This window comes from Homo sapiens, chromosome 5 (assembly GCF_000001405.40).
Source record: "Homo sapiens chromosome 5, GRCh38.p14 Primary Assembly".
In the NCBI taxonomy this organism is placed as follows: domain Eukaryota; kingdom Metazoa; phylum Chordata; class Mammalia; order Primates; family Hominidae; genus Homo; species Homo sapiens.
In genome coordinates this window covers 84,063,558-84,078,318 of record NC_000005.10, presented here as the reverse complement: position 1 = coordinate 84,078,318, position 14,761 = coordinate 84,063,558, and the positions used below count along the sequence as shown (strand labels likewise).

Below are 14,761 nucleotides of genomic sequence, written 5' to 3'. Positions count from 1 at the left end.
TGAGAGCTCACACACACACACATACACACAGGTACACTTTATATTTTAATATTCGATTCCTCTGGGGATAGTCACCTAAGCTGCTCTCCTTTGCTAACATAAAAGTTATTACAATAGATATGTGTGTGGATTTCTTCTTGAGCACTTATGCAAAAGTTTTTCAGGGAAAAATACCCAGAAATAGGGTTGCTTAATTTTACTAACAACTAACAGATAGAAATGGCTATGCTAGTTTACATTCCCATCATCAGCATCAGAATACTTCACCAATACTTGATATTATTTGATATTTTTGTTTTGCCATTCTGTTGGCTGTAAATTGTTGTATCTTTTTTTAACAAAATTGCATTTCTTTAATAGTGAAGATTTTCTCTGAGTTACCTTTAATATCATTTGCTCCATTTTCTATTGATTTCCTCATCTCTTTGCATTGTGTGTGTGTCTATGTGATTTGCAAAAAAAAAAGAGGAAGAAAAAGAAAGAAGAAAAGAAGAAGTGGAAGAGAAAAGAAAGAGGAGGAGGAGGGGAAGAGGAAGAAAGAAGGGAGAAGATATGATTTGATATGATTTGGCTAGATATGATTTGGCTAGATCCCCACCCAAATCTCATCTTGAATTGTAGCTCCCATAATCCCCATGTGTCAGGGGAGGGTCCCGGTGGGAGGTAATTGAATCATGGGGACAGGTTTTCCCATGCTGTTCTCATGCTGTTCTCATGATAGTGGATAACTTTCATGAGATCTGATGGTTTTATAAAGGGCAGATCCCTGCATACATTCTCTTGCCTGCTACTATGTAAGATGGGACTTTGCCCCTCCTTCGCCTTCTGCCATGTGAGCCCTCCCCAGCCATGTGGAACTGTGAGTCCATTAAACCTCTTTTTCTTTATAATTAGTCAGTCTCAGGTATTTCTTCATAGCAGTATGAAAATGGACTCATACACCCTTGTATATTTTAGATCAGTTATTCTCACCTGAAAATGCAGTTCACATATCCCTTGAAGAAGCAGGGGATCCCAAAGACTCATTCAGGAGATTCACAAATCAACACAATTTTCATAATATTTCTAAGACGATATTTGCCACTTTTACTCTGTTAACGTTTGTACTGATGCCACAAACAGTGGTGAGTAAAACTGCTAGTGCCTTGGCACAAATCATGACGATAGCATCAAACTATACTAGTCATCATTGTATTTATCTCTATTTTACACACTTATGAGTAAAAAAAGAGAGTATCCAATTCATTTAAGAACATCCTTGATGAAGCAGTAATGATAACTAATTCTATTATTTTATTAAATGTCAATCCTTTTTAAGTCTATAGTATTCTGTGTGATGAAAAGGGGTTTATGCATAAAGCACTTTTGCTGAGTACTGAAATGTGACCATTGTCTACAGGAAAAGCCTTTGCAAGATTGTGTGAGTTTCAAGGTAAACAACTCCTTTCCCCTACTTTTTTGTATCATGTTTACTTCAAAGAACAACTGACAGACCAACTATAGTTATTCATACCTGGGTATCAGGCAGATATTGTCTTGAAAATGAATACAGCAATCCTGCCACATCAATGAAAACAGCTGACAGTCTTTGTTGCTAGTTATAAAATTGGAAATTTCAAGTGAAATTTATAATTTTGGAAAACTTGTAACTATCAATGTGAGTTTCATACATTCCAATAATTAAAAACTTTTCTGATGAAATTGGTGGTGATATTAATCAGTGCAAGTTTTTGTATTATATAGTGAAATGTGTCATCGCTTAGAAAATCTACGTAGCTCGGTGAGCCAGTATGTTGCAAATGACCAATGTATAATGTTACAAAACCATGCATGGGTGAAAAATCCATTCAAAGTGCAAAATAGACCAATGGATTTTAACACAAGGAATACAAAATCTTCATTGGTAGATTTCAGATTCCACAAAGCATCTAAAATTTAACAAACTACTTTTGTTAAAATTTAAAAAGCAAACTTTTCAAGTTTTGGTATGGTATCAAAGAATATCTACAGTTATCTGGAAAAGTTGCTAAGTCATCTCTTCTTTTCTAGCTGCATATTTGTATGAAGCTACATTTTCTTCCTATATTGCAACCAAAACAACATATTGCAATAGATTGAATATAGAAACAAATATGAGAACCTGTCTTCTCTTAAGCTAGATTTGAAAGAGATTTGATAAAATATAAAATAACTCTTTCTTAGTAAATTTTTGTTTGTTTTTGAACAATATAATTATTTTCATAAAAATGTAGTGTTAATGGTAATATTTAACCTGTTCATTATTGTCATTTTTAGGTGAATTAATATATTTTTAATTTGTCAGTATTAATTTCTAATATGATAAATATTTATATATATATATATATATATAAAACCCACAATGGCACGTGAGTGTGTGTCTGTGTGTGTGTGTGTGTGTGTGTGTGTGCGTGCACACTTTTGCACGTGTTTGTACTTTGGGGCTTTTGATAATTTGTACAAGGTTTAAAAAAGTACCGAGACCATATGGTTGAGAACTAGTGTACTTAGTAATAAGCCCCTGTGGGCCGGGCACAGTGGCTCACACCTGTAATCCCAGCACTCTGGGAGGCCGAGACGGGCAGATCACCTGAGGTTGAGAGTTTGAGATAAGCCTGACCAACATGGAGAAACTCCATCTCTACTAAAAATACAAAATTAGCCAGGAGTGGTGGCACACGCCTGGAATCCCAGCTATTCGAGAGGCTAAGGCAGGAGAATTGCTTGAACCTGGGAGGCGGAGTTTGCAGTGAGCTGAGATTGCACCATTGCACTCCTGCCTGGGTGACAGAGGAAGACTCCGTCTCAAAATAATAAGAAGAAGAAGAAGAAGAAGAAGCCCCTGTCAAATTTGGATGTTGCAAATATCTTCCCCCAGATTATCACCTTCCTGTGAACTTTACCTGTGATGTTCTTGTAATAAAAATGTTTACTTTTTTATTTTTATTTTTATTATACTTTAAGTTTTAGGGTACATGTGCACAATGTGCAGGTTAGTTACATATGTATACATGTGCCATGCTGGTGTGCTGCACCCATTAACTCGTCATTTAGCATTAGGTATATCTCCTAATGCTATCCCTCCCCACTCCCCCCACCCCACAACAGTACCCAGAGTGTGATGCTCCCATTCCTGTGTCCATGTGTTCTTATTGTTCAATTCCCACCTATGAGTGAGAACATGCGGTGTTTGGTCTTTTGTCCTTGCGATAGTTTGCTGAGAATGATAATTTCCAATTTCATCCATGTCCCTACAAAGAACATGAGCTCATCATTTTTTATGGCTGCATAGTATTCCATGGTATATATGTGCCACATTTTCTTAATCCAGTCTATCATTGTTGGACATTCGGGTTGGTTCCAAGTCTTTGCTATTGTGAATAGTGCCGCAATAAACATACGTGTGCATGTGTCTTTATAGCAGCATGATTTATAGTCCTTTGGGCATATACCCAGTAATGGGATGGCTGGGTCAAATGGTATTTCTAGTTCTAGATCCCTGAGGAATCGCCACACTGACTTCCACAATGGTTGAACTAGTTTACCGTCCCACCAACAGTGTAAAAGTGTTCCTATTTCTCCACATCCTCTCCAGCACCTGTTGTTTCCTGACTTTTGAATGATTGCCATTCTAACTGGTGTGAGATGGTATCTCATTGTGGTTTTGATTTGCATTTCGCTGATGGCCAGTGATGGTGAGCATTTTTTCATGTGTCTTTTGGCTGCATAAATGTCTTCTTTTGAGAAGTGTCTGTTCATGTCCTTTGCCCACTTTTTGATGGGGTTATTTGTTTTTTTCTTGTAAATTTGTTTGAGTTCATTGTAGATTCTGGATATTAGCCCTTTGTCAGATGAGTAGGTTGAGAAAATTTTCTCCCATTTTGTGGGTTGAATGTTCACTCTGATGGTAGTTTCTTTTGCTGTGCAGAAGCTCTTTAGTTTTATTAGATCCCATTTGTCAATTTTGGCTTTTGTTGCCATTGCTTTTGGTGTTTTAGACATGAAGTCCTTGCCCATGCCTATGTCCTGAATGGTAATGCCTAGGTTTTCTTCTCGGGTGTTTATGGTTTTAGGTCTAACATTTAAGTCTTTAATCCGTCTTGAATTAATTTTTGTATAAGGTGTAAGGAAGGGATCCAGTTTCCGCTTTCTACATATGGCTAGCCAGTTTTCCCAGCACCATTTATTAAATAGGGAATCCTTTCCCCATTGTTTGTTTTTCTCAGGTTTGTCAAAGATCAGATAGTTGTAGATATGCGGCATTATTTCTGAGGGCTCTGTTCTGTTCCATTGATCTAGATCTCTGTTTTGGTACCAGTACCATGCTGTTTTGGTTACTGTAGCCTTGTAGTATAGTTTGAAGTCAGGTAGCGTGATGCCTCCAGCTTTGTTCTTTTGGCTTAGGATTGACTTGGCAATGCAGGCTCTTTTTTGGTTCCATATGAACTTTAAAGTAGTTTTTTCCAATTCTGTGAGGAAAGTCATTGGTAGCTTGATGGGGATGACATTGAATCTATAAATTACCTTGGGCAGTATGGCCATTTTCACGATATTGATTCTTCCTACCCATGAGCATGGAATGTTCTTCCATTTGTTTGTATCCTCTTTTATTTCATTGAGCAGTGGTTTGTAGTTCTCCTTGAAGAGGTCCTTCACATCCCTTGTAAGTTGGATTCCTAGGTATTTTATTCTCTTTGAAGCAATTGTGAATGGGAGTTCACTCATCATTTGGCTCTCTTTTTGTCTGTTGTTGGTGTTTAAGAATGCTTGTGATGTTTGTACATTGATTTTGTATCCTGAGACTTTGCCGAAGTTGCTTATCAGCTTAAGGAGATTTTGGGCTGAGACAATGGGGTTTTCTAGGTATACAATCATGTCATCTGCAAACAGGGACAATTTGACTTCCTCTTTTCCTAATTGAATACACTTTATTTCCTTCTCCTTCCTAATTGCCCTGGCCAGAACTTCCAACACTATGTTGAATAGGAGTGGTGAGAGAGGGCATCCTTGTCTTGTGCCTGTTTTCAAAGGGAATGCTTCCAGTTTTTGCCCATTCAGTATGATATTGGCTGTGGGTTTGTCATAGATAGCCCTTATTATTTTGAGATACGTCCCATCAATACCTAATTTATTGAGAGTTTTTAGCATGAAGAGTTGTTGAATTTTGTCAAAGGCCTTTTCTGCATCTATTGAGATAATCATGTGGTTTTTGTCTTTGGTTCTGTTTACTTTTTAAGAAGAAGAAGAAGAAGCAGCCCCTGTCAAATCTAGACATGCAGATATCTTCTCCCAGATTGTCACCTTCCTGTGAACTTTACCTGTGGTGTTCTTGTAATAAAAGTGTTTACTTTTTAAAATTTTGGGGAGTATGCAATACACTGTCCTGTTGCTGAAGTCTTACTACTCTTTCCACAGCATTATGCTAAGATCTCTCTCTCTCCCTCCACCATCCCTCCATTCTTTTCTCACCCCCTCTGTTACTCCCTCCCTTCCTCCTTCATTCTTGTTCTTATGTTTTACAAGTAAATAGTATCTTCTTTTCTGTACTTTTTCATAATAAAATTACTTAGATGCCTATTTATAGATACTTTAAATTGTTTGAATTTGTGTTTTATTATATACAGTGCTGTAGGGAATAACTTTTTGCCAACATCAGTTTACTCATACTTGTAGGATACATTTTTTAAATAGAATTGCTGAGTTAAAGAGGATGTGTGTTTGTCATTGTTACATATAACCAAATTGTCTTTCATAAATATGATGTCATTACACTATCACATGAAAACTATGTCATTTATAGTCTCATAGATATAAACATGCCTAGTTCTCCATATTCTTGCTAATATTGTGTAGTCCAACATTTTTATTTTTGTTTTTGATAGGTGAATTATGATTACTTGGTGTAGATTTAATTTACTTTTTTATGAATATGATTATCTTTTCATATGTTTAAAATCCATATTCATTCCTTTTAATGGCTACTAATCAAATCCTTTGCTCATTTCTATTGGGTTAGTTGTGTTTTATCTATCAATATGTATAATCTAATATCTTTGATTGATCAACCATTTGCTATGATATAATTTGTAAAAGTTTAATCCCCATTTGTCATTTGTATTTATTTTGCTTTTAATCTTGCAGAAATTTTTACTTTAATTAATAACATTTTTAAATCTAGTGTCATGAATAGAAACCCATTTTTTTATCTCTGAGATTGTTTTTAATTCTGTGTTTTCCTCTGATAATTTTGTGGAACTTATTTTGGGATAGGATGATAGGCAATGATCTAAATTTATTTGAGAAATCTATCAAATTGTCCCAATTATTTAATACTCTGTCTTTTTTCCTCTCATTTAAATATTATTTATTTCATATACAAAAGTTTCCTGCATATTGGAGTCTATTGGTTTTCTATTCTGTTCTATTCATCTGTCTCCATGTGTGCCGGTATCACACTATTTTGATTATATTTTCAGTCGATAATTGCTGGTGTAGAATAGTTATATGTTGATCTTCTATTAAGCAAACTTGCAGAACTTTTAAATTAGTTTTTACTATTTCTTGCGTCTCTAGAATTTTCAAAGTAAATTGTTAGTTGCATCATCTCCCAATATGAGAAATCTCAGCAATCCATCCTCTTCCCTTCTGGAAAGGGTTTTATAACACTGTCTTGCTGCTTACTAGTTTATATTCTTCAGCTGTGTCTCTTTGCTTCTTTGCTATTGAAACCACTCCATTGGGAATTTTATTTAGACAATTATCTTTTTATGTCCAATTATCCAGTATCACCAATTGGTTCTTATTTATATGCTTGTTCCTGTCTTATGTTTCAGAAAATCTTCGTCTTTTCAGGGATTTCTTTTGAATTTTAAAGTCTGAATCTGTTCTCCATTAGACTACATTTTATTCTAGTATTAGTTCTGTTTTTTCCTTTTGATCATGGTGCTTACATTCCCTAGAGAATTTGTTATTAATACCTTAGCTAGTGATGTATCTAGAAGGAAGGGTAAAATTCATGTCCCAGCTTCAGCTACTACAAATGGATTGAGTTGATGTAGAGAGGATACCTTATAGCAGAATTATAATCTGTACTGACTCTACAGTCCCCTTTCCCACAAAATACTTCATCTGCCTTAGACACTGCTCTTACCAGGACCTCATCACTCTGATTTACCTCCTTAGTCCATAACCTGTGATGTGGAGGGCAGAGGGTACAACACTCAGGCCTGCTAGTGCCTGCAGACTCCTGTCTAAGCCTGGCCCACATTTTTCCACTGCTTCTCACTGGCAGTGGGCTGGAACTGGGTAGATCAGAAAGAGCTCAATAAGCAAAATGAGAATGAGAAAGAGAAATAGAACATTTAGAAAGTTCTTCCCAAGCCTGATAACCTTTATGAGCCCTTGGAGTTACCCTCAATAAACCCCAGCTACACAAACATACACTGGGATCTCAAATTTCCACTTACACTAAGGCTTTACCATAGTTTTTGTGTTCAAGTACGATAAATTTCAAAGCCTGCTCAGCAATGTTCTGTTCCAGGGCATCTTAAGTGCTGGATTCAGTAGAGAGGACCAGTAGCCCATGCTAGTTGCTGTCTTGTCAAGAACCCATTAATCCCACCCCCCATGGTAAGACTCATGATTAGATTTAAACACACACACACACACACACACACACACACACACACACACACTCTTAACCATAGTAGCCCTAAATGTCTTATTAGTATATAGCTTTGAAAGTTGTTTGCAAAATTATCTTTATATGCTTGTTATTGAAACGGGAAAAGTTCCCTTGTCCCCCTTGCAAGGTGTGTGATGGGATGTGGCTCCCTTCTTCAGTGTCTCACTGTGCAAAACCCTTAGGGGGAGGAGACAGATGGGCAGGTCATTGGGAGCGTGGGCTCTGACCCCACAGCAGCTTCTAGGGGTAAACGTTTACAGTTCCTGAAGCCCCACCGGGCATGTTACAGTGTGCTCTTTTAGTTTTGCCATCTGTAGGCAGCTTATGTTAATCAGCTCAATTAGACCTTCTACCTTGTCACAAGGACAGAGGGCTTTCTCTATCCCGGGGTTCTTGCCTTGGTGTACCGGAAAAATCAGATCACATGTTGGCTTGGAGAATGAGTGCAAGGTTTTGTTGAGTGGTGGAAGCAGCTCTCAGTGAGGTGGATGGGGAGCCAGGAGGGTATGGAGTGGGAAGGTGGTCTTCCTCTGGAGTTGGGCTGCTCAGCGGCAGGACTCTCCTCCAACTGTCCTGGCCAAATTCCCCTTGGTATCCACATCATTCCATGGGTCGATGGCCTGCTGGCGTCTACCGGTGCCTGTCGGTGGTGCTCTTCTGCTCCTCTGCTCCTCTCCACATCCAGCCACCTGTGTGCTCTTCTGCTGGTCTGTTCCTCTCAGTGCCCAGCTGCTTGTGTGTGTGCCCACTAGGGTCTGGGGGCTTTTACAGGCACAGGATGGGGTGTGGCGGGACAGGTGCTCTTGGAAAATGCAACATTTGGGCATGAAAACACTAGTGTTTGTCCTCACCTAGATCCGTGGGCACAGGCCCGAGGGTGGAACGCTCGCCAGGGTCCCTGCCCTTCTCCTCCCAGCACTTCCCTGTCGCCACCCCATATCGTTATGATTATCGGCTTTTATAATACACTTCTCAAAATCCAAATTTTCTGGCATTGAGTGGTTAAAGGCAGAAGATGTAAAGAAAATGCTTTTTTGCTCTTTTTCATGTAAAAAAAAACCAAAAACTTAAAATAAAAAACATGTTCTAAGTGCTTTCTAGGTGGCAGATGTTGTTAATGTTTTACATGCACATATCATATAATATTCACATATTTTATTAAAACCTCCTTTACAGGGAGGAAATTAAATTTCAAAAAGCTTAGACAAATTGTTCAAGATTATATAGGTCGGAAGTGACAAAACCAAGACTGAAACCCCCATTAGTCCATTCCTCCCTTCTGCATACCCTTAGCATATGTTCTAAGCATTCTAGATTCAGATTATCATTCTATTTATATTAATGTAGGAGGCTACCATTTGTTCAAAATACCTTAGAATGCACTTCTGCTTTTTAAGGATACACAGTGTTCCTACCACCCAGTGGAACAACAATTTCTCTGAAATCAGATACATAAATGAAAATATTTTATTTCCTTTTCAGGCATCCACCAAGCTCATAGAGAATAATTTAGGCATTTCTGATGCAATCCTCAATAGACCTTTTACATAGTATGTGGGATAGTTCATACAGGGAGAATAAAATTAAGATCACCTTTTAGCCATTGTTATTTTACAGAGATATCACAAAATAATGTTGGAATGGGATGGAAAGGAATTACTTGCAGATACTTGTAAGTGGAGGTGTTTCCAAAATCATACTATATATTTCCTCCAAGGCTTACTTAGTTTATTTCCTATAGCAACATAGTTTACTGGTATTAAATTTGAGTATGACTATGATGGTGACAGCTTAGCTTCCTTATATTGAATTATTTTCCAAGCTTAATAGTGCTAGATACATGAAAAGTCAAAAGTTTAAAACCTGTAATTACTAAAACTTAGTGAGCCTGAGCCTGTATTTTTATAAATTTTTTCATTTTAATTTTGTGTTTAATGGAAACAGTGCCAAAATTTAATTACAAATATCTACTAAAAGTTAGACACAACCCAAACTGGGTGATGCTTAACTAACTGCAGTTCCATCTTCCTAAAATATATATGCAGAGCTTCTAAATATTAGAGCAAAGAGAATTTTTACATGATTTTTAATGATTTAGAGAAAAATACAAACTATTATGCATCTACAATTAAAGCTTTAGAAAATTAGTGTCTATAGCTTATGAGCCAAAACTCTAGCAAAGATAATTTGGCTGTCTACAACAGGTATAAACAAGATAATTGAAATGAGATAAAAGATAATTGAAAAAGGAATGTTCAGCAACATCAGATGTGAAACTTGGCTTCCAAAATGGGAGAAAACATGATTCAAAGTGTCCACTGTGCATATTGTATGTATTGGAAATGTTTAAACTACAAAGAGTCTCAGATTAAAAAAAAAGAAAATGTCATGCATAAGATAATGAAAGAATATGACTCTTTCATAGCGATGTGCTAATTGACCTAACATACTGAAGTAAACATCTTTCAAACATTCCCTCTTTCAAGTTGCATAGTTAAAACTCCAAAATCAATCTTTAAAGGACTAATGGAGATAAATGTAGATAAATATTAAGAGTAGTAAGTAAAATTTACATTCATGAGGGATATTGTCTTTTTGAACCTCCAAAGAGGAATGGGACTTAAAATGTACTCATGGTTATAGTTGTTGTGTGATGTCTGAACATCAAAATGAGAAAACCTAACTTGGATATCTGAGTCCATCCACTTAGCATTGTTCAAGGAAAAAAGGGACCATCGGCCCAGAATTTTAACACAAAAAATTGTACTCATCAAAACTCCAGATTTTCTTTATATATGAACAAGACTGAGAATCACCTTGTGGGAAATAGTTGAGGGAAGGATTTTATGAGGTTTCAACGGGGAAGATGAGACTTTGGGAGACTCAGAAACAATGGCGATAGGGTGGCAGTTTTCATCATGCACACCGTGGACCATTTCAAATGCTAACTCTCAAAGTCTCCTCCTACAGTGGAAAACTCTAATCACTTACATGAATCTGAAGATTTTCTGATTTTCTTTGGAAAATAATATCTGAATCATTAACTTAATATTATGGTATGACATATTTAAATTTTTCCAATTTATATTTTTGGAGAGGGTGATTTATAGCAATTTATCAAGAACATTTAAAAGATTTTATAGACATCATAAAGGCATTTTAATTTTAATGTTTACAATATGTGAAATTTTAATGTTTACTATATATGAATAAGGCACTTTTCTACATTGTAGCATTTGATTTAGTTATTAAGTGTTAAGTGTCAAAAAGATATCTCTATTAAACATGAGAAGAATATTAACAATTTTATTTGATGTATGTTACTCCTGAAGCAAACTGTTGTAAAGGGATTTGGAATGGGGAGAAAATATGGAGACAGAAAATTCCAGTTAGAAATTTTACTTATAATAAAATGAAGAAAAAAGCAATCATTTAATTTTTTTAAAAAATGCTCCACAGACTACAGTGTAAAGATCCAGAAACTTAAGGGATACTTGTTTGTTTTTGGTTTGGACATCATTTTTGTCTTTACTTTTTAAAATTCTGGTATTCAAAGATCTCAGTGAAATTGTCATGTTTTATTGTAAATGGAAATTTCTAGAAGCTTAAATCAGTTTATACACATTAATAGTTATGTTGACAATAGAGTTTTATAGTAATGACACTGAGATTATTTTGACAAGAGAATATTCCAAGTTTTCAGTTTATTAAGTTACATCTGCATATCGTGAGAACGCAGATGCTTTCTATACTTATGTTTTTGGGGCACATTGCCCTTTTCAAAGCCTGTTCACAAATATTTGTTTACTTAAAAATAGTATTCCATTACAGAAAGGGATTTTGAAGCTAAATTTAATATATGCCTATTGTAAACATTTATCCATGAAAATTATTAGCTTTTTATGTTATTATTAATCTGCATTAACAATGTTTCATTTCTAAAATTCGTATTTTCAGTATTGTTATCCTGAAAACAATAAGATTATTGTTGGTTGTGCTCGTCTTTTCAGATAAATTTGCAAAGGAAAATGAGAGTTACTGGTGTGATTACCCAAGGAGCCAAGAGGATTGGAAGCCCAGAGTATATAAAATCCTACAAAATTGCCTACAGTAATGATGGAAAGACTTGGGCAATGTACAAAGTGAAAGGCACCAATGAAGACATGGTAAGAATAATTTAACCTACTTAATTTAAAAGAAAAATGTCATTGATAATTATTGATTATCAAATGACAAGGTCTTCAGGAGAAGACTTATGTTGATGAAAATAAATTACCAATGCGTCTTGTTTTTAATTGGGCTAGTGTGATGAAGGAAGTAGTAATTCTCCAGTTTATAAACTTAAAATGGCTGACATTTAAGATTTTCACAGATTTTAATTGGTGGTGCTACAAATACTTTGACACAGGTGGACACAGTCTTTTGTATGACAATTAAGCTTTATTTTAATGATACATTTTTATTGCTTTCGTGATTAACGCACTTTTTTTTTTTTTTTTTTTGAGACAAAGTCTCACTCTGTTGCCCAGGCTGGAGTGCAGTGGCGCGATCTCGGCTCACTATAAACTCTGCCTCCCAGGTTCACCCCATTCTCCTGCCTCAGCCTTCTGAGTAGCTGGGACTACAGGTGCCCACCACCACGCCCGGCTAATTTTTTGTATTTTTAGTAGAGATGGGGTTTCACCGTGTTAGCCAGGATGATCTCGATCTCCTGACCTCCTTATCCACCGGTCTCAGCCTCCCAAAGTGCTGGGATTACAGGCGTGAGCCACCGCGCCCGGCTGATTAACGCACTCCTTAATGAGATAACTATTATATTAATGAAAACTATTTTCTTAAAAGCAAAAAAGCACTAAGTGATAGAAGAGATATATATCTTTATATGCTTCATATTGGAAGAAAGATTTGTTACTTAGCAAAATAAAATATTTTAGAGGTATTGAATATTATATTCAATACTTCCTTTTCTTTTCTTATGATATTCTCAATTCTTTTGTTAGTTCTTCATCGAAAATTTTAATTTTAAAAATATCAGGACTGGAGATCATTCCATTTAATCAGGCATTATACCAGACTCTAATAAATTATATAAAATATTTTTAAAATTACCCCCTTAAATGAATTTAAATAAGGTTTTTGGATTATCAGGTTTACATAAAAGGTAAAATAAGAATAAGCCTTAATGAATTTACAATGACACATTATAGTACTTGAATTTTAGAGGCAAACATAGTTTTTAGCTGGAAATTTTAATAAGGAATTCTATTATCCAAGTACATGGGACTGGTTGATGAAGACATAATCTTCATGAGTCAAACCTTAAAGCATCATAAATCTAATCATAGCATTAGAGAGACTGGATGATCCGGAAGCAGTAGCAAAGACTGGATTCTACCCCCAAAAGTATGAATACTAAGTAGGAAAATGAGCAGACAGTCCCAGATTAAATTGAAGGATTTAAGGTGTCCATTTCTCAAAAAAAGAGAAGAGCGCTGCCCTGGTTCTGAAAGACTGGCCTTAAAATTGACAAGACCATCACAGTGGAATATAGATCATGTCATGAGCCACAGTGGTTTATGGCTTTAATTAGGAGTTTATGGTTGGGTTTTATATTCAGTGCTCATGGCAAGGCACTTCTCAAATGCTCCATGCTCCCAAATAATGTAATCTGTTCTTCGAACAATTATTTTCGATAAGGTATAGATAGGGTAAATATGTAAAAATAGGTAAATAAGCTGTTGCAGTGAATAATTTTAAACTGTTTTTACACAGGTGTTTCGTGGAAACATTGATAACAACACTCCATATGCTAACTCTTTCACACCCCCCATAAAAGCTCAGTATGTAAGACTCTATCCCCAAGTTTGTCGAAGACATTGCACTTTGCGAATGGAACTTCTTGGCTGTGAACTGTCGGGTAAGTCTCAAATTAACTATTTCTGTATTCTATTTAAAGAAAACAAAAAGCATATTTGTATGTAGCCTGTTACTAACCTACAAATTCAACAACCATAGAAATTTTTTTCTGGGGAAAAATGTCTACAACATGGTTCAGGGAAAACCAGTGTGTGTTTATGTATAGAATAAACAAGTTCTAAAACATGCTACAGGGTAGAATTAATGTAGAAAGAGTAATGTGTTTTGTTGAGTGGTCAAAGAAAGCACAGGGAATTCTCACGGGAAAATTGTCACTTTTAAATGTGTCTCATTGTTTTGCATAATAACTGTGATCTATGTTTTCCGACAAAAAGTTTAGTAAAAACTGGAATCTGTCCCACCTCATAAATTGCAGTAAAGGTTAAGCTATGTAACACAGAAAAGTAAGCTTTATCTTTGTCCATCTATCATAAGAACTTTATCTTTGTCTGTCTACCATAAGAACTTTTTTTTAGGTTTTATGAAACATTTAATTTCTCATTCCTCAATACTTCAATACCAAGATTGCTAATATAAATTCATTCTTGGATCATTCTTAGCTAGCAACCTGTTTATTGTAAAAATAGTGGTTATCCAACTCAAGGATAACCTATCAAAGGACTCAGAGTTAAATAATTCTTGTCCCCCAGGAACATCAATATTAGCTATAAAGATGAGGACTTAATGTGTGAATCTTACAGTGGCCCCATTTCAATATAGCTAGATTCTGAATGAAATAGAAAATTGTATCTAGGCATTTCACTTGTTATATTTTTGGTAGTTGTTCTTACATTTCTGGCATCACAATTTACAAACTATCTTTGCTGCAGTGGCCTGAAATTATTTTGTTCAAATAACTGTGAAGAAAACTAAAAGTGCGTGTGTGCTCCGCTTTTTAGTGTAACCCTGAAGTGAGGAAAAACCTTTACCAAATCTAAAACAATACCACTTAATTAAAAATAGGAGAACAAGTCCCTGCAAAGAGACAACTGTGAGCTTTTTATTCATTTCAAGAGGTTGCCTATAGGTTAAAGCGCATACTTTATATCTGTTTCTCTTCCTAAATTTATTTGTGTTGCCTAAAAAAGGATTGATTTTCAAGCAAATAAAATTTACTATTAAATAGCCAATTTTTAATAAGCC

The 14,761-nt window shown here is 35.6% G+C and overlaps 1 protein-coding gene across 2 annotated transcripts in view; it reads left to right on the top strand.

Moving 5' to 3' along the window:
* Window positions 1-14,761, top strand: part of EDIL3 (EGF like repeats and discoidin domains 3) — a 444,327-nt gene that overhangs the window by 306,562 nt on the left and 123,004 nt on the right. For both annotated transcript variants that reach the window (NM_005711.5, NM_001278642.1), the window contains 2 exons: window positions 11,713-11,868; window positions 13,475-13,619. In NM_005711.5, the coding sequence (NP_005702.3) occupies window positions 11,713-11,868; window positions 13,475-13,619 (301 nt within the window). The remainder of the gene's footprint in view (window positions 1-11,712; window positions 11,869-13,474; window positions 13,620-14,761) is intronic.